The sequence below is a fragment of the Homo sapiens genome, chromosome 3, assembly GCF_000001405.40.
Source record: "Homo sapiens chromosome 3, GRCh38.p14 Primary Assembly".
NCBI classification, from domain to species: Eukaryota; Metazoa; Chordata; class Mammalia; order Primates; family Hominidae; genus Homo; species Homo sapiens.
The window spans coordinates 129,862,131-129,883,236 of record NC_000003.12 but is presented as its reverse complement, the minus strand read 5'-3'; the positions used below and the strand labels follow the sequence as shown (position 1 = coordinate 129,883,236).

The 21,106-nt window shown below is 39.4% G+C and overlaps 1 protein-coding gene across 12 annotated transcripts in view; it reads left to right on the top strand.

Moving 5' to 3' along the window:
• Positions 1–21,106, top strand: part of TMCC1 (transmembrane and coiled-coil domain family 1) — a 245,920-nt gene that overhangs the window by 10,475 nt on the left and 214,339 nt on the right. For 7 of the 12 annotated variants that reach the window (NM_001349270.2, NM_001349265.2, NM_001017395.5 and 4 more), the window contains exon 2: positions 2,678–2,928. The exons of 2 other annotated variants lie outside the window; for them this stretch is intronic. Coding sequence is in view for 1 of the 10 variants with exons in the window: in NM_001349271.2 (NP_001336200.1) it covers positions 2,725–2,928 (204 nt within the window). In the remaining 9 variants the exon portion in view is untranslated. Of the gene's footprint in view, positions 1–2,674; positions 2,929–21,106 lie in introns of all 12 variants that reach the window. 3 more of the 12 variants (NM_001349271.2, NM_001349275.2, NM_001349264.2) reach the window with 1 other exon arrangement.

The window sequence follows — 21,106 nt, the reverse complement described above, 5'->3', positions numbered from 1 at the left end:
GGGTTCAAGCGATTCTCCTGCCTCAGCCTCCCAAGTAGCTGGGATTACAGGCATGTGCCACCATACCTGGCTAATTTTGTGTGTGTGTGTGTGTGTGTGTGTGTGTTTTTAGTAGAGGCAGGGTTTCACCACGTTGGCCAGGCTGGTCTCGAACTCCTGACCTCAGGTGATCTGCCCACTTTGGCCTCCCAAAGTGCTGGGATTACAGGCATAAACCACCACGCCTGGCTGATTTTAACCATTTTTAAGTGTGGTGTTCAGTAATGTTAAATACATTCATAATGTTGTGCAACCATCACTATCATCCATCTCCATTACTCCTTTCATCTTGCAAACTGAAAGTCTTTTAAACACTAACTCCCCAGACCCCCTCCTCTGGCCTCTGGAAGCCACTATTCTACTGTCTTTGAATTTGACTACCCTAGGTACCTCATATAAGTGGAATCATACAGTACTTGTCTTTTTGTGACTGTCTCCTGTCACTTAATATAATGTCCTGAAGGTTCATCCATGTTGTAGTATTTTTCAGAATGTTCTTTCTTTTTAAGACTGCATAGTATTCCATTGTATATGATATACCACATTTTGCTTATCTATGCATCTGTTCATGGACATATGACACTTGAGTTGCTTCCACTTTTTGGCTATCATGAATAATGCTGCTGTGAACATGACTGTACAGATATCTCTTACAGACCACACTTTAAATCTTTTTTGCTATAAACCCAGAAGTGGAATTGCTGGATCATATGGTAATTCTATTTTCATTTTTTTAGGACTTCCATACTGTTTTCCCCAGTGGCTGTAGCATCGTACATTCCTATCAGCAGTGCACAAGGGTTCCACTTTCTCCATATCCTTGCCAGCACTTGTTGTTTTCTGTTTTTTTTTTTTAATCATAGCTATCCCTAATGGGTATGAGTGGTATCTGATTGTAGTTTTGATTTGCATTTCCCTAATTATTTGTGATATTGAGCATCTTTTTATGTGTTTATCAGCCATTCATGTATCTCCTTCGTAGAAATATCCTTTGCCCATTTTTATCAGGTTGTTTTTGTTTTGAGTTTTAAGAGTTCTCTGTATATTCTGGATGATAGATGATCTGTAAATATTTTCTCTCATTCCATATTCCTCTGGCTCCTTTTAAGATTTTTCTTTATGTCTGGTTTCAAGGAATTTGATTTTGTTGTGCCCTGGTGGAGTATAAGCTTTCTTTTGAGTTTTTTGCTCTTGTTGTTAAGCTTTTGGAGTTTGTGGGTTTATACTTTTCATCAGATTTGGAACATCTTTGGCTATTATTTCTCCAAATAGTCACACATCGCTCCTCGGATTCCAGTTACATATATATTATTAGGTTCTTGAAGTTGTCCCATACCTTACTGATGCTCTGCTCTTTTTCTTTGGTCTTATATTTTGGGTTTCATTTTGGATAGTTTTTATTTCTGTGTCTTTACATTCACTCGTCTTTCCTTCTGCTGTGTCTTGACTGCTGCTAGTTCCATCCAATGTATTTCATTTTATATATTCTATAATTTGTGGTTTGATAGAAATGCAGTGATGTAGCAGGTATCAATAAATACTGCCTTAATTTGTTGCGAAAATATAACAGATTTCTTGTTCTGTATGTTAGCTAAAAAGGTATGCAAACCACCCTGTATGTCATATTAACATTTATGTCCCTTTGTTTTCATGTCAACTTTTAGTTTCTCTGCCAAAACCTACATATGTTTTTTTTATATGATTATTCTACATTTTCTGCTGAGAGTGGACATCTGCATTAGTAGTTCTATGATATTTGTTTTATAAGTTGCCAGAATGGTTGCTCTGTTTGGCAGACTGCAGACAAATATTTATCTATGATTCGTTGCATGATATGACCATGATTTTGCTACAAAAAACTTGAAATAGATTTTAATATTTTCTTTACTATTATCAGAGAGAGAGCTGGATTACCTGCAAAAGTGTACTTTTGCTTATTGCTGTCATTGATAACTCAGTGCCAGCTGGGCGTGGTCACTGGTATTACCTCCATGTGATCACTTTTTGTTCACTAATGTTAATTTAAAAAATTTTAGGCTGGGCGCAGGTGGCTCACACCTGTAATCCCAGCACTTTGGGAGGCCGAGGCAGGGGGATCATGAGGTCAGGAGATCAAGACCAGCCTGGCCAACATGGTGAAACCCAGTCTCTACTGAAAATACAAAAATTAGCCTGGCATGGTGGTAAGCGCCTGTTATGCCAGCTACTTGGGAGGATGAGGCAGGAGAATCGCTTGAACCTGGGAGGTGGAGGTTGCAGTGAGCCAAGATTGCACCATTGCACTCCAGCCTGGGCAACAAGAGCAAAACTCTGTCTCAAAAAAAAAAAAAAAAGAAAAAAAATTTGCAGCCTGAGAACTGATATACTTCAGACCAGAAGTATTTCAGATTTTTTTTAGATTTTGGAATATTTGTATTATACTTATCAGTTGAGCATCCCTAGTTGGAAAGTCTGAACTCTGAAATGCTCCAATGAGTGTGTCTTTTGAGCATCATGTTGGGACTCAAAAGTTTTCAGATTTTGGGGCATTTTGGGTTTTGGCCTTTCAAAGTTGGGATGCTCAGCCTGTCATTGCTTGTCAGACAGTCATTTGCATTCAGTAGTTCTTTCTCCTTTTCTTGCTTCTCTGTCCCAGCAGGTATTAATCTCTGGAGAAGACACATCCACAGTTAGCACTTTCTTCAGATGCTGACGCTCGGTGAACAGTTGCCTTTGGTCACAAGATTTAGAAGACACAGTGTCCATCCTCCCAGATTGGATCTCTTTTTCATATGGATCTTCTGTTTCTATGTCTTTTTAAAAAATAACTTTTTGGGAAACCTTTTGGATTACAACTGTTCATCCTCACCTATGCAAAGAAAGGGAAGCTATTGCTGGGATTTTGAGGAGGTATGTCGTTTTTTCTTCTACTGCAAAATCACATCACCCAGGCACTCAGAACAGTATAAAATAATTATACTTTCCTCTCTATAACTCAGTTCTCATTCATTTACTTGTTCCATCTTCCTTTCTCCCATTTTCTCTTTTTTTCTAGCACCTGTAGCTCAACAAGAACTTTCTTAATGTATATAATGAAACAGCTCATTTCCTACATTCTTCCTGAATGTTATTAGACACGGGATTAGACTTACAAGTAACGGGGAGCAGCTTGAATTTTTTTCTTTTAAATTAAATCTTTATTTTTTATAATAGAGACAGAGTCTTGCTGTATTGCCCAGGCTGGTCTCAAACTCCTGGGCTCAAGTGATCCCCCACCTCAGCTTCCCAAAGTGCTGGGATTACAGGTGTGAGCCACTGTGCCCAGCTGTAGCTTGCATTCTTATTTCTCAAATTGAAATTGTGACTTGGGTAAACTGAATTTGTTCTCATTCTGCATAGACACTGGATGGTTTAGGAAAGCTTAGTAACGTTAGCATAATATTATGGCTGTATGATTTCATAGTCTGGTTCAGTTTCATTGGCAAGAGGAGGTGTGATATTGTAGAGTTTTGAACTAAAAATTGAGACTTCAGTCCCAGGTTTGACATTATTACTTCCATGCTTTGAGAGTTAAAGTATGTTTGTTTTCTCACCTTTAAAATGGGCTTATCATTACTTGCTTTACACAGCTCATGGGGTTATTGAGAATCAGATAAGAAAATTTGCATGAAAGATTTTTATCAATGTAAAGGATTGTTATTGCGTTGTAGACAGTTATAGGTATATCTGTTGTTTTCACTCAAAGACTCAATTTTTCTTTCTGAAAACCTTTTTTTTTAAGACAACGTCTTGTTCTGTTGCCCAGGCTGGAGTGCAAGGGTGCAGTCGTAGCTCACAGCAATCTCACATTCCTGGGCACAAACAGTCCCCTGCATCAGTGTCTCAGGTAGCTGGGACTGCAGGCATATGCCACTGTGATCAGCTAATATTTTTATTTTTTGTAGAGATGAGGGTCTCGCTATGTTGCCCATGCTGGTCTCGAACTCTTGGGCTCAAGTGATCCTTCCACCTCGGCCTCCCAAAATCCAGGGATTACAGGCATGAGCCACCATCCCTGGCCTGAAATAAATAAATAATGCATAAATGTCATTTTTAAATTTATGATGACAAATTCTAAAGAGAAAAGTAAAAGGAAAGCAGGAATAGAATGTATTGAGGGGAAGGGGTTGAGTGTTCACAGATGGCTTCATACAGAAGGTGACATTTGAGTAAGGGCTTGAAAGAAGTGAAGGAGTGAGCCATACACATATATGAGAAGAGCATTCTAGGCATAGTGAATCACAGTGTACATGTCCTGAGACAGAAGCTTGCCTGAGGAATGGTGAGGGTGGGTCCTTATTTTGTGGTGCTTTATGGAAGTGCTTTTCAAACTTCAATGTGCACATGAATTACCTTGGGGGTTTCTATTAAAATTTAGACTCTAATTTCATAGGTCTGGGGTAGGGCCTAATTCTAATAAGCTCCCAGGTGCTGCTGCTGCTGCTGGTCTTTGTAGGACTTCAGCATTTACACTGAGCAAAATAGGAAGTCTTTGGAGCGTTTGGGCAGGGTGACATGATCTGATTTATATTTTGACATTTTCATTTCTTTGGCTGCTGAGTAGATAGTGGTGGATTGGGCAAGGACAAAAGCAGAAATACTAGTTTGGAGCCTATTACTGTAATCAAGGTGAGAGAAAATGTGGTTTGTGCTAGAGAGTAGCAGTGACTGTGGTAACATGATCTGATTCTGGATATATTTTTCAAGTAGAGTCAGCAGGTTTTGCTGATAGATTGGATATGTGCTGTGAAAGAAAGGAAAGAGTTAAGGTTTTTGTATTGAGTTTCTGGAAGAATGCAGTTGTCATTTATTGAGATGGAGAAGACTGAAAGAAAGAGAAACAAGTTTGCAGGAGAAGTAACAGAAGCTCAGTTTTAGACATAAATTAAACATGCCTATTAAGACTTAGAGATGTTGGCCAGGCGCAGTGGCTCACGCCTGTAATCCCAGTGCTTTGGGAGGCCGAGGCGGGCAGATCACCTGAGGTCAGGAGTTCAAGACCAGCCTGGCGAATGTCGTGAAACCCCATCTCTACTAAAAAAAAAAGTAAAAAATTACCTAGGCATGGTGGTAGGCGCCCGTAATCCCAGCTACTTGGGAGGCTGAGGCAGGAGAATCACTTGAACTTGGGAGGTAGAGGTTGCAGTGAGCCGAGATTGCGCCATTATACTCCAGCCTGGGCTAAAAGAGCGAAACTCTGTCTCAAAAAAAAAATAAAAATAAAAATAAAAACATTAAAAAAAAAGCTGGTCACGGTGGCTCACGCCTGTAATCCCAGCACTTTGGGAGGCCGAGGCGGGTGGATCATGAGATCAGGAGATCAGGAGATCAAGATCACCCTGGCTAACATGGTGAAACCGCATGTCTATTAAAAATACAAAAAATTAGTTGTGCGTGGTGGCACATTCCTGTATTTCCAGCTACTTGGGAGGCTGAGGCAGGAAAATTGCTTGAACCTGGGAGGTGGAGGTTGCAATGAGCCAAGATTGCGCCACTGCACTCCAGCCTGGGTCATAGAGTGAGACTCTCTGTCTCAAAAAAAAAAAAAAAAAAAAGACTTAGGGATGTTGAGTAAACAGTTGGGTTTATGAATCTGGAATTCAGGAGAGAAGGATCTGCTGGACATATACCTCTGGGTATTGTTAAAATAGATTATATTTAAATCCAGAAAGCTGGATGAGATCTCCAATTAAGTGAGTAGAGATGGAAGTAAGAAGCAGTTGAAGAACTTAATTTCCAGAGTTTAGAGTTGGGGAAGATGAGAAGGAAACATCAAGGAAGACTTAGTAGCAGTGGCTGGAGAGTTAAGATGAGAACTAGGTTAGAGGGTATCCTGGAGTCTAATGAGGAAAGTGTTTCAAGGAATAGGGAGTGATCAACTGTGTCAAATACTACAATTGAGATGAGGGCTGAGAATTAACTATTTGATTTAACAATGTGGCAGTTATTGGTAACCTTGATAAAGGGTAGTTTTAGTGGAGCGGTTGGAGGTTAAAGACTGATTGGAGATGTTGTCTTTCCAAATGCAAAACATTTCCTAAACCCTGATGAGACTGGGTATTCAGATAAAAATCTGTAACTCTGGGTAGATGTTCTTGGCAGGAGAAGATTTAAGATATGTAAGTAATATTATTAACAACTGTCTTTATTAATTATTCATTTAAAGTAATATTGGAAAATTTACTTTGAGGAGATCTTCAGGGTTTATTTATTTATTTATTTTGAGATGGAGTCTCGCTCTGTTGTCCAGGCTGGAGTGCAGTGGCACGATCTCAGCTCACTGCAAGCTCCGCCTCCCAGTTTCACACCATTCTCCTGCCTCAGCCTCCCGAGTAGCTGGGACTACAGGCGCCTGCCACCATGCTTGGCTAATTTTTTTTTGTATTTTTAGTAGAGACGGAGTTTCACCATGTTAGCCAGGATGGTCTCGATCTCTTGACCTTGTGATCCTCCCGCCTCAGCCTCCAAAAGTGCTGGGATTACAGGCGTGAGCCACCGCGCCCAGCCCTTCAGGGTTTATTTTTTTTAATTTTATTTATTTATTTTTCTGTAGAGATGAGGTCTGCATATGTTGCCCAGGCTGGTCTCAAACTCTTGGCTTCAAGCAATCCTCCTGCCTCAGCCTTCTAAAATGCTGAGATTATAGGCATGAGCCACTGAACCTGGCTCCTTTATTTTTGATTCATGTCTTCAGGATTTTAAAAATTGTCCTTAGCAATTATTATGAAAAAGAAAAAATGTAAGGATTGGCTAGGAGCTAATTGGCTGTCAGCTACTCTTCTTTCTTAGGTTATAGGGCTGAAAGGCACTTTAAATATAGTCTTTGTTCTGTCAGTGGGGCTTGTGAGAACCTCTTCACACTTATATTTATTCTTTTTTTTTTTTTTTTTTTTGAGCCAGGCATTAAACCTGGGTTCAAATCACTAGTGCTTACTTAAGTCATTGTAAAGCAGTTAGCAGGTTGTGTTCAACATAGCAATTATCAAAAGAATGAAGGTATAACTTTAAGGACCAATGATATTTTAAACTTTTTTTTTTTTTTTTTGAGATGAAATCTTGCTCTTGTTCCCCAGGCTGGAGTGCAGTGGTGTGATCTCGGCTCACTGCAACCCCGTCTCCCAGGTTCAAGCAATTCTCCTGCCTCAGCCTCCCAGGTAGCTGGGATTACAGGCATGTGCCATCACACCCAGCTAGTTTTTTGTATTTTTAATAGAGACGGGGTTTCTCCGTGTTGGTCAGGCTGGTTTTAAACTCCCAATCTCAGGTGATCCGCCCGCCTTGGCCTCCCAAAGTGCTGGGATTACGGGCGTGAGCCACGGCACCGGCCCTATTTTATTATTCTTTGGTAAAAGTATCCAGTCTATGTAGCATACTCAGCCAGATGAGCTTATGTAAATAACCAAAGTGGGTGGGTGTGGTTAGACATAACTTATTCTTGGCTTTTATGGAAGACCTCTTTTTCTTCATTTGTTTATTAAAAAAAATATGTATTGCTTACTTTCATATTTGTTGGCCCTGTTGTAGGTGTTGGAGATACAGTGGATAAAAGTTTCTACCCTAATGGAGTTTATGTTTTAGTGGAAATGAAATAACAGATTGGGGCCAAGACTTGTTAGTGGTCTCACACTGGTATGAGTAATCTTTTTTGGGTGTGTTTGTGTTGTTTTTTTTTTTTTTTTTTTTTTTTTTGAGATGGAGTCCTCCTCTGTCCCCTAGGCTGAAGTGCAGTGGTGCGATCTTGGCTGACTGCAACCTCTGCCTCCAGGGTTCAAGCGATTCTCCTGCCTCAGCTGCCAAGTAGCTGGGATTACAGGCGCCGGCTACCTCACCCAGCTAATTCTTTTTCGTATTTTTAGTAGAGACAGGGTTTCGCCATGTTGGCCAGGCTGGTTTCGAACTCCTGACCTTAGGTGATCACCTGCCTCAGCCTCCCACAGTGCTGGGATTACAGGTGTGAGCCACCGCACCTGGCCATTTTTTTTTTTTTTAAATAGCAATGGAATCTTGCTGTATTGCTCAGGCTAGATGAACTACTGGGCTCAAGTGATCCGCCTACCTTAGATCCTGAGTAGCTGCGACTACAGATGTGCCACCATGCCTGCTTCTGGTATTGGTCATCTTAATGCAGTGTGGGCATATGGAAAACCCAGAGAAGGTTGTTATGAGCTGATTTTCCTTTCCGACAACTTAAGACAGTACTCAAATATTGTGGAGAATAAGGAAAACAGAGTTAAGTAATTATCTGACAGACTTTGATTATGAAGAGAAAGGTTCAAATATATGAAGTTTATTTTCTACTTTTCATTTTATTTTATTTATTTTTTTAGAGATAGGGTCTTGCTCTTGCTCAGCTGGAGTGCAGTGGTGCAATCATAGCTCACTGCAACTTCAAACTGCTGGGCTCAAGCCATCCTCCCACCTCACCCTCCCAAGTAGCTAGGACTACAGGTGTGCGCCACCATACCCAGCTAATTTTTGTATTTTTTGTAGAGATGGGGTCTTGCTATGTTGCCCAGGCTGGTCTTGAACTCCTAGTCTCAAGCAGTCATTCCACCTCAGCCTTGCAAAGTGTTGGGATTATGGACATGAGCCACTGCACCTGCCCTGTATGTTTTATTTATTTAATTTGTTTTTTGCAGAGATAGGGTGTTGCTATGTTGACAACGCTGATCTTGAACTCCTGGGCTTAAGCAGTCCTCCCACCTCAGCCTCTCAAAGTGCTGGGATTACAGGTGTGAACCACTGCGCTCAGTTCTAGCCGCTATTTTTTAGATTCTTAGATGCCGTAAGTGGCAGCTTGTGGAATTGATTCCATAGTAAATTGAGTCAGAAGACATTTGAGAATCTATTATAGGCAAGGCATTATGCCAGGTGCTGGTAGGCAAACAATAATTTTTAGGTACTTTGTAGAAATAACAGCTTTGAGTCACTTTGAGAATTCTCTTATGTGTAATATGAGTCTAAAAGAAGTTTTTAACATTTTTATTTCAAACTCATTTTGAATAGGAATATGCAGATGTTGAAACCATAGAAATGAAAGTCTCACTTTAATCCCTGATTCCTGGTCCTTACTTCTCCTCCTTAGTAACAACCATTTTTACCTCTTTTTGTGTCTCCTTCCAGATATTTTATGTACATATTTGTGTATATATGTACATATATATTTATATTACCTTTAAAAAACTCAAATAGAGGTCTACTGTTCAAACAGTTCTATACCTTGCTTTTTTCCCTCATACAATATAGTTTGAGCATCCCAAATTTGAAAATCCAAAATCTGAAATCTTTTGGGTACCAACATAACACTCAAAGAAATGCTGCTTGGATTTGGGATGCTTGCCTGGTAGGTATAATGCAAATATTTCAAAATGTGAAAAAATCTGAAATCTAAAACACTTCTGGTTCCAAGCATTTTGGACCAGGGATTAACCGTATGCTACTTATAGCCCATGTCATTAAAAAACAGTATTTTTAAACTTATTATTTTTATTTTTTAGAGACATGGTGGCACTCTGTCACCTATGCTGGTGTGTAGTGGTGCGTGTGATCGTAGCTAACTGCAGCCTTGACCTCCTGGGCTCAAGGGATCCTCTTGCCTTATCCTCCCGACTAGCTGGGACTAGAGGCGTGCACCACCACGCCTGGGTAGTTTAAAAAATTTTTCGAGACAGGGTCTTGCTATGTTGCCCAGGTTGATCTCAGACTCCTGGCCTTAAGCAATCCTCCCATTTCCACCTCCCAAAGTGCTGGGATTATGAGTGTGAGTCACCACACCTGGCCAACTTGTGTCCGTTTTTTTTTTTTTTCAGCTGCATAGTGTTTCATGTTATGTATTTCCTGTGATTTTTTTTCTTTTGGGTTTTTCGTATGTCCACACTGCATTAAGACAACCAGTGTTAGTCTTGAGACCACTAACAAGTCTTATCCCCAATCTGTGTCATTTCCACTAGAATTAAAGCTCCATTAATTTCCAAGGATAGGCTGGGCGCGGTGGCTCATGCCTGTTATCCCAGCACTTTGGGAGACTGAGGTGGATGGATCACCTGAGATCAGGAGTTTGAGACCAGCCTGGCCAACATGGCAAAACCCCATCTCTACTAAAAATACAAAAACTAGCCAAGCGTGGTGGGGGGTGCCTGTAATCCCAGCTGCTCGGGAGGCTTGAACCCGGGAAGTGGAGGTTGCAGTGAGCCGAGATTGTGCCACTGCACTCCTGCCTGGGCAACAGAGCAAGACTCCGGATCTCAAAAAAAAAAAAAAAAATTCCATGCGTAGACAAAATATATATCATTAGGATACATTCAATTGTAAATAATGGAAGTAATAATTTAAAAAACCCCAGGAAATCTAATAGTGACTTAAGCTGTAAAAATATTTTATTGTCTTATATAAACAGAAGCAACGAGATAGGTAATTCAGCACTAGTTTGGTAGCTCAGCAATATTTAGGACCCACATTTTTCCCCTCACCTTTATTTTCCTCATTATGTTGGCTTTTCAGCCTCCCTGTGTCACCTTTTGGTTGCATCATGGCGCCTCATCTCCAACCAGCACAACCAACTGCATTCAAAAACAGGATATGGAGGGCAAAACATTTTTTTACTGGGAAGATGCTGTCATTTTACATGGGAAGGAAAGAAATTCCCAGAAGTCTCCTAAACAGTGCTTCGTGAACTTTAGTGTGCATAGAATTACATGGGGAGCTTGTTAAAATACAATTCATATTGCATATTTGTGGGATATACTTCCAGAGATTCTGAAATGCATAGGTTTGGAGTAGGGCCTGAGAATTTGTATATCTATTAAGCTCCCATGTAATGCTGATGCTGTGGGGTCAGCAGACCATGCTTTTGAGTGCACTTCCTGTGTAATGTCTCATTACATTTCACTGGGATTTATAGTGCTGCCCCTCACTCCAAGTGTGTCTAGGAAAGAGAATATGATAGCCATATTGCCTGAAACCAGTCATTACTATCTTGAACAAAATGTGAATTCTGGTTAATGAGGAAGAAGGGAGAAATGGCTGTTGGAATAACAACTGTGGCTAGCACTTTTGCTGTTACAAATAATGCTGCGTGAATACTGGTGCTCTGAAGAAAAGGTAGATATAATTAAATTTTTAACAGATATTTTCAAAATTTTCTCTAAAGACCTTAGTTGGAATTATTTTACAATCAGCAGTCTATGAGAGTGCTTGTTTCTCCATTATCTTTACAACTTAGATGTGTTATCAAACATTTTGGTCTTTGCCAATCTGATAGGTAAAAAAAATGGTATCACTTCGTAGATTCATTTGCATTGCTCTCATGCATGAGGTTGAAGAACTTTTCATCTATATGAAAATCATGTATCTTTTTTTGTGAGCTGGCTGTCCATGTTAGACTTTGATTCTTTTTTCATTGATTACACATTTTTTCTTTTTTCAAATTTTAATTCCTGTTTAACAACATCCTAACAGTTTTTTTTCTTATGAATTTGTAGGAGCCGTTTATGTAATGGAATTAGCTTATGTGTTGCAAATTTATTTTCCCAGTTTGTTAGTCATTTGACTTGGTTTGCTTATTTTGATGTAGAGCTTAGTTGTGGTTACACGGGATTGTAAATTCTGTTGCTAAGTTGTGTGGATTGAGATCTCGAATAATGGTATAAGTATGCTTACCAAAAAATTTATAAATGATACTAAAACTGGGAGGTTTATCTAATATGTTGCATCAAAGAAAATCAAGATGATTTAAGTACGTATGAGGTATGAAAGTGTCAAGGTGGGTGTAATAGAAATGTAAGATCCTATTCTTTTTTTTTTTTTTTTTTTTTTGAGACAGCGTCTCACTCTGTTGCCTAGGCCCAGTTTGGAGTGCGGTGGCCATGATCTCTGCTCACTGCAACCTCCACTTCCTGGGTTCAAGCAATTCTCCTGCCTCACCCTCCCAAGTAACTGGGATTACAGGCACATGCCACCACAACTGGCTAATTTTTGCATTTTTGGTAGAGATGGGGTTTTACTATGTTGGCAAGGCTGGTCTCGAACTCCTGACCTCAGGCTCTCCACCTGTCTCAGCTTTCCAAAGTGCTGGGATTACAGGTGTGAGCCACCGCGCCCAGGCAAGATCCTACTCTTAAACAGAAATTATCTGGCTCAAAAGTTTTGTTTTCATTTGATGAGTCCCATAATCTAAGGTAAGTTGTATGATTTGGCTGTTAAAAAAAAAGCTAACATTGGTGAACACTTACAGAGGTACAGTGCTAGATTAAAAGAAGTAATAGTCCCTTTGTTCTTGGACTGTCAGATTATATCTATGTTGTATCCATTCTTGGATGTTACATTTTAAAAGGACAGGGATAATCTAAATTTTCTAGATGAATGAGACCAGAATAGTGAGAGCTTTAGCTACCATATCTTTTTTTTTTTTTTTTTTTTTTTGAGATGGAGTCTTGCTCTGTCGCCCCCCCCCCCCCCCCCCCGCCAACCCGCGGAGTGCAGTGGCACGATCTGGGCTCACTGCAACCTCCGCCTCCTGGGTTCATGCCATTCTCCTGCCTCAGCCTCCTGAGTAGCTGGGACTACAGGCGCCAGCCACCACGCCTGGCTAATTTTTTGTATTTTTAGTGGAGATGGGGTTTCACCATGTTAGCCAGGATGATCTCGATCTCCTGACCTCATGATCTGCCCGCCTCGGCCTCCCAAAGTGCTAGGATTACAGGCGTGAGCTTCCACGCTGTCCAGCCTCATTAGCCACCATATCTAATGAAAAACAATTGAAGAATTAGGATTTTGGTACTGAAGATAATACTTGGAAATATAACTATCCAAATATATTCAGAAGTTGTAAGATTTCCTGATTTCTAGTGACCTCTTTCCTCATTGCTGATATTGGTACTGAAGAGAAAGTAGTGTCTTGATGACTTTAGTTTCTTATTAACTGGAGGAGAAAAAAATGAAATGTTTGTCAGTCAGCAAGAGTATAATGCTGAAAAAGGCAGTTCTTAAAAAAATGTGTAGACAAGTAGAATACTAGATAGGTACATGTGATTTCTTTATATTTTATTTTTATTATTTGAGAGAATTTTTCAAGACTAGTCTTTCAAGAACATATTTTGAGGATGCTGTCCTCAAGGATTGTTAAAGTTTATAATTTTACACTACATGATAAAAAGTAAAGGTTGCTGTAATGTAGAAGTTGGCAGGGATTTATGTGTTAAAACTAGCTTTAGTTCATAACTCTGCTACTTGCTGTGTATAGTGGGACATTTATGAGATTTAATTGTCTCTTCTGCTGTTGAGGACAGTATCTGCATCTCAGAGTTTTGTACACTGCAAATAATTTATGCTGAGCTTAATGCCTGGCATGTAGATGGCATAAAATTAATGCCAGGTATTTTTAGTGGCAACTGTTCTTGACAGCATTGCTTACATTTTTGGGTTTTCTATTTGTACATGTGCATCAAGGTAAGTTGGGAGGTTATATCAACAAATACATTTGTATCATCAAGCTTTACAAATATATCCCAAGAATTACTACCTATGGGGGTTTTTCCATACCACACCTAATTCACCTTCAGTTCTATGACACTGAGTGTTCAACAATTCCATTCAATTCTGACACTGTCTACCTGGAGTTAGTGTCAGATCTCAAGTTAAAGGGCTCAGTCCCAAAAGACTGCTGCTGCTTGAGATGCTAGTCACAAGTCTTGGGCCACCCACACTTCTGTCTGGCTTGGCTGCAAATTCAGGGGTTCTCGTGACCCCTTCCTCAGGTTCGTTAATTCACTGGAAAGACTCATAGAACTCAGGAAAACACTTATGTTTATCAATTTATTATAAAGGGTACAACTCAGGAACAGCTAAATGAAATAAATACATAGGGCAAGCTATGGGGGAGGGGTGTGAGGCTTTCATGTCCTCTCTGGGCACAAAACCCTCCCAGCACCTCCATGTATTCACTACCTGGGAATCTTTCCAAACCCCATCATTTAGTCAGTCCCCAGTTCCTCTCTCTTCCCCAAAGGTTGAGGAGTGGAGGACTAAAAGTTCCAATACTCTAATCGCTTGGTTGGTTCCCCTGGCAACCAGCCCTATCCTGAAGCTATCTAGAGGCCCACCAAGAGTCACCTAATTAGTATAAACTCAGGTGTGGTTGAAAGGAATACATTATGAATAACAAAAAGCGCTTCTGTTATTGAGGAAAACCTAAGGGTTTTAGGAGCTCTGCCAGGAATCAAGGACAAAGACCAAATATGTATGTTTCTTATAGCACACTACTATACATAAAACTAGATTTTGTTTTTAGAACAGAGGGCTGGGTTTCAGAATATCAGTATTGAATTCCTTAGGTCATTGATATATTTCTTTCTGTAGCCATAGGGTCACCAATTTGATTATTGGTAATGTCAGTAACATTTGTTTTGAGATCCTTTGATGAAAGGTTCCATTGAAACAGCTAGGCTGGGCGCAGTGGCTCACGCCTGTAATCCTAGCACTTTGGAAGGCCAAGGTGGGTGGATCACTTGAGGTCAGGAGTCCGAGGACCAGCCTGGCCAACATGGTGAAACCCCGTCACTACTAAAAATACAAAAATTAGCTGGGCATGATGGTGTGCACCTGTGATCCCAGCTCCTTGGGAGACTAAGGCAGGAGAATCACTTGAACCCAGGAGGTGGAGGTTGCAGTGAGCCAAGATTGCGCCACTGCACTCAAGCCTGGGCAACAGAGCAAGACTCTATCTCAAAAAAGAAAAGAAAAGAAACAGCTAAATGCCATATTCCTGAGGAGTCTTTATCAAATTCCAGTATTGTTTCTTTTTTTGCTTAGACATTTATTCTCAGATGGCTCTGCATGTGATGTGACAAAAACAGATAATTTTTTTCTGCCAGGAATAATGTTCATTTTTTCCAAACTGTTGGGTCATGAAATTTGGGTAGAAATGCCTTTTGGTGGTCTTAATCTCTTTATTGGTAAACAATAGTATGCGAATTTTCATAGCCAGAAAAGGAAGAGTAAATTGTTTGGAATTCCAAATTCTTTCCTGCTTGTATGGTTTTTCCCCCCTCTGCCTGCCTGTTTTAATGTATTTGTTAGAGATGTGGGCGTTGTCTTCTTGTAACACAGGGATTTCCTTAGAATGTGAGCCTTAAATTAATATTTTAAATGTTTTAGAACATCTATGGGAAGTATCTTGATGTACAAGAATGGGTACTAGTCTAACGTAGTGCCTAGCAGAGTTCTTGGCACGTATTAGGCACACAATAAATATGTTACTCTTCTAGAAGTTAGAAGCCTCTGTTCTAGCGTTTGTATGCCACAAACTATCTGTGTGACCTAGAGTCTTCATCTGTCGTCATCTTTAGAATCACTTGTCTTGTAGCTCTGACTCAGTGACTCAGTTTATTCTGGTCTTATTTTTTAAAAACTTATTTCTACTATGGCCTTAAAGTCAGTTTCTTGAAAATAAGCCAATGCAGTCACCAGATAGGATGAACTGGGAAGTGTTGTGAAATAAGCCACCTTCTGTGGCTTCAGTTATTTGCTTGGCTATATGTTCTTTCTTTACTCTGGTAGAGTTACATTAGATTTTCTACCCACACCAGGTTAGGACTAGATAATTTTTTAATTTAGAGACAGATTTAAACCTATCACTGAATTAGCATTTATTGAATACTAATGGTATTGTTAAGGAATTTAGATTTGATATGGCACTTCAAGAAGCCAGTGTGGAAAGAGGAAAACAGGAAAACTAGCTATTGAAGGCCATATGGTTTGTATTATGGAAATATAAAGAAGGAAGAGAATAGGTGACTGTTGAAGCGATTACAGGAGGATTTGATCTGTGTTCTCTATTTGTAATGTTGAAGAAGAAGGCTATCATTGCAAGTATGAAAAATAACATGGATGAAAGCATGGAGATACTTGAATCGTACATTTGTGTTTCTGTGTTTGTGAGACTAGCCCGCCCTACCCATTTGCTGACCTTTTGGAGACAAGCTTAGTTTTGAGTAAGGTCATTTTAAGATATGAAGAGTGGACTTTGAGAGGTAGAATTGAAACAAAGGAAATGAAGAAGTGTTTTTTTTTTTTTAACTCATAGGTAGGATGAATTGGACAAGGATGAGACTCGTGTAGGTGAGGACAGTTGGAAGGATCATGATGTCGTAATCTTGGAGTTAGGTGAAACAGGTATCAAAAAATAACTTTTCCTGTCCTATAGTGAGAATAAACATTTATAAAAATATTGTTGATAAAGAATTTGTTTTTCTTTAGTATTTGTTTTTCAAAAGTATTTCATTTGTTTTTCAAAAGTATTTCAAGTTTCAAACAGGAACTTTAAAAAATCTGTAGCATGTGACAAACCATTATTTTGTGATAATTTGCCTGTTTTTAGTGAATAAAACCAGTATATACATTTTGTATCTTTATGGTAAATAATGCCAAATGTATTGAATTTCTTATCTGTCCTGGATCTATGAGCCAAGATTTCTGTCTGTAGCAAATAGTGAAAATATAAAATATGGTCAGAAGTGGTGGCTCACACCTGTAATCCCAGCACTTTGGGAGGCCAAGGTGGGTGGATCACCTGAGGTTGGGAGTTCGAGACCAGCCTGACCAACATGGAAAAACGCTGTCTCTACTAAAAATAAAAAATTAGCCGGGCGTGGTGGCGCATGCCTGTAATCCCAGCTACTCGGGAGGCTGAGGCAGGAGAATTGCTTGAACCCGGGAGGCAGAGGTTGCGGTGAGCTGAGATCGAGCCATTGCACTCCAGCCTGGGCAACAAGAGCGAAACTCTGTCTCAAAAAAAAAAAAAAAACATATATATATATAAAATATATATTATGTATATATAATATATATTATGTATATATGTATATATAATATATGTATATATTATATATTATGTATATATGTATATATATTATATATGTATAATATATATTATATATATGTATGTATGTATATAGCTGTGGGTCTTTGTACACCATTAGGAAACAAATGAGAGATGAAGTCTCTAAAGCATAATGTGTATTTATTTCATAATCGTAAGTTTAGAAATCAGTAGGATAAAGGTCAGATTGGGTGTCAGGGCATCCAGAATAGTGGGTGTATTCCATTTTGATCTGCATATCTTATTCTGTTGTTGATTAAGAGCAGTGAGAGTCCATAAACTATGGTATATGATAGCTGTGATCTCTGATACAAGCTTCATGTAGATGACACTCAAATCTGCACATTCAGCTTGCACTTCCCTACTGCCTGCTGGACATCTGCATTTTGAGATCCCGCTGGTTCCTGAAACCTAGTGTGTCTTCTACCAAAGTCATTGGCATTTTGCAGTGATATTTTTTTGCATTCCCATAAACCTATACCTCCTCTAGTTTTACTTATCTTGATTAATGGCCCATCATTCATTTAGCCAACCAGTCTACAAAACTTGGGGTTTTCTTTAATTTCTTTCTTTTTTACTTCTGAAACATGTCTTCCCTGTTGAACCTTAAGAGTGTTCATTTATTCACTCATTCACTCGTTTATTCTGACATTTATTAAGCATCTATTATGTGCCAGACATTATGCAAGGAATTAAGGATATAGTGGAAAATAAGATCAATTTTCTGCTCTTACAGACCTTATAGTTCAAGCTTTCATCATTTTCTCCCTATCCTCTTTGGGCTATTTTGATAGCCATCCATATTTTTTCTGGTTATAAACATAATACATCCTTATTTTAAGAAGTGCAAGGATGCCAGGAGTGGTGGCTCACGCCTGTAATCCCAGCACTTTGGGAGTCTGAGGCAGGTGGGTCACTTGAGCCCACGAGTTTGAAACAAGCCTGGGCAACATGGCAAAACCCCGTCTCTATAAAAAAAAAAAAAAATGATGTGGTGTCATGTACCTGTACTTCCAGTGGGAGCTGAGGTGGGAAGATCTCTTGAGCCTGGGAGGTGGAGGTTGCAGTGAGCCCGGATTGCGCCTTGCACCACTACAGGGAAAAAAAAATGAATGAGAAGCCTGAGCTTTCTGGAGCAAATCTTACTGTTTGGGAGTGTAAGAGGCTAGTCTGACTTCTTGACCCTCCAGATTAAGATAGATGCTGTTCCTCTGGGCTTCCTCAGCACCCCAGGTTTCCCATCATGGCTCTTACCACTTTGTGGTGTTTCCCTACCTAGAACAAAGTCTCCTGTATCTTTTGTGTTTGTTGGGTCCAATGTAGTGCCTGGACGCCTAGTAGGCATTTCAAAGTTTGCCAAATGGATAAATGACTGTATTAATGTTTTTGGTTGCCAAACATATTCTTTAAAACCATTCACCTCTGTTTGCCTTCAGTTTTTATTTACCAAATAACCTTTTGGCATTAAATCAGTTTACCAAGGGGATTTTACTACAGGAAAAAAAAGAAGGTACTGACCATAACCTAATTGACAGTTAAAATTCTTTTTTGTTTGTTTTGTGAGACAGCATCTGACTCCCATCACCCAGGCTAGAATGCAGGGTGTGATCTCAGCTCTTTGCAGCCTTGATTTCCTGGGCTTAGATGATTCTCCTACAGGCTGATTTTTTGTATTTTCACTAGAGATGGGGTCTTGCCCTGTGGCCCAGGCTAGTCTCGAACCTGGGTTCAAGTGATCTGGCTGCCTCAGCCTCCCAGAGTGCTGGGATTATAGGTATGAGCCACCGTGCCCAGCCAGTAGTTATAATTCTTATAAATTTATTAAAAGACTGATGCTGTGGAACAGATGGGTATGAGAATTTGGATAATATAAACTATTTTTTTCCTGAGTGCAGTTATCACTTTGGATAAGTTACTGTCTAGTTTCTAATTGGGCATAGGTATAAATGTGGTGTGGTGAATAGAAGGCTAGATTCAACTTTGATTTGACTCTGCCACTTGCTAAGCTGTGAGATCTTAGGCAAGTCTCTTAGGATTATTGACTGCTCAGACCTAGTCCAACTTTAAAATTTTATGACTGAAATAAGAGCCATACTTCGTATCAATCTGTTGAGGCCTATGTGGGCTCCCAACCTTCTCTCTACAGATATGTGGACATGTGAAAAAAAGGGAAAATATAGTAAAAAGTATAGTGCCTTAGAACTCTTTTACAGAACTGCACAAGGATGCAAGAGGTGGTAGCACTGTGATGGTTTTTAGAGAGAGCATGAACCCGATAACTTCTTTTGCATTCTTTGCATTATTTCACAACTAGTTCTAGATAAAATAATTTTTTCTTTTGAGAACAAGGACATGGCATTTGGGGGTGTGTTGGGGATGGGGATGGAGAGGATGTTGATTTGGTTCTTACTTTTTTTTTAGCCTTATTCTTTTTTTTTCTTGAGATAAGAGTCTCGCTCTGTCACCCAGGGTGGAGTACAGTGGCACGATCTTGGCTCACTGCAACCTCCACCTCCCGGGTTCAAGCGATTCTCCTGCCTCAGCCTCCTGAGTAGCTGAGATTACAGGTGCGCGCCACCACGCCTGGCTAATTTTTGTATTTTTAGTAGAGACGGGGTTTCACCATGTTGGTTAGGCTGGTCTTGAACTCCTGACCTCAGGTGATCCGTCTGCCTCGGCCTCCCAAAGTGCTGGGATTACAGGCGTGAGCCACTGCGCCTGGCCTCTCTGGGTGACTTATTGAGTGAGGATTGGTTCTGTTCTTTTTCCCCTTATTCTTTTATTCTGCCCTTTTCCCCTTTTTCTTTTCACCTTCTCAGTAGAATCTCAGGATTCAATCTCTGTGAGGCATGAAGTTTAGATTATAGAACAGAGTTGGGAGACTTGTTTTTCTTCTTGATTTTTGAGGTACCAAGGCAAACTGCTTTACTTCTCCATGCCTGATTCCTTTTATTAAAAGAAAACAAAATCTTATTCTTACATCACATGCTTTGGGATAATAAGGTAATTTGTTGGAACACTTAAAAAATTCATTATTTAAAATTGAGGTATAATTTCCAGATCTTTTGATCCACAGATCAAAGATGTATATATAGCTTAATGAATTTTTACGTATGCATACAACAGTGTATGGGTACAGTATAACCAAGAATAAAGTAAAGGTATAGGACATTTTTATCCCCCTAGTAATTCCCTATGTCCCTTTCCAGTCAGTATCTTCTTTTTGAACACTTTGAGTGCTTTATTATTCATATGGAGAAGACAATGAAAACGAATCTTGACATCTTTTAGGTTTCACCTGAATTGAATCTTAAATTCTATGATAATAACATCTTAGCTATAGAAAATAAGGTCTTTAGACTTTTAGAAATGGATATGGCAAAATTGTGTTAAAATGCTTTCCTAATAAAATCCTAATCCAAGGTGCAGAGGGACTAGATTTACATTGATAAAGTGACACTGTTGTTTACCAGCATGTGTATATTTTTCCACGTAGACATTTCTGAAAGTTTTTGGGTTGTGAGAAAGTAAATTTATTTGGAAAGTTTATGTAAGTAAGAAAATGGAAATTGTTTAGTCAGATGAGTGATGAGCTTGTTTCAGGTCTTTGAATTCTATTTTTCCTTCTATCTGTGCTGTGTGTGACCCTGTGGATGAGGCCTAACCTCATTTGTTTCCATCTAATATTTATTCAGCACTTATTTTAAAATCTGAAACACTGTGCGTGAATCTTTTCAAAGTTCTGTGGTGCTATTTGAGCTCATCCCTTACTTTAGCTATTTATTATATGTCTTGTTTCCTAATTTGTATATACACCTTTTATTTTAGAAGTTTCGGATTTACAGGAATATTACAGATAGTACAGAGTATCTGTATGTCATGCACCCATTTCTCCTATTAACATTTTGCTTTACAGCTTTTTTGAGATATATTTTATATACCTTAAACTTCATTTTTCTTAGTGTACTTTTCAGTGGTTTTTAGTATATTCACAGAGCGGTACAACCATCACCACAACCTAATTCCAAAACATTTTCATCACCCCCAAAAGAAACTCTGTACCCATTGAGCAGTCATTCCACATTTCCACCCCACCTGCTCTATCCCTGTATAACTTCTAATCTATGTTCTTTTCCTAAGGATTTGCCTATTCTGGATGCTTCATATAAATGG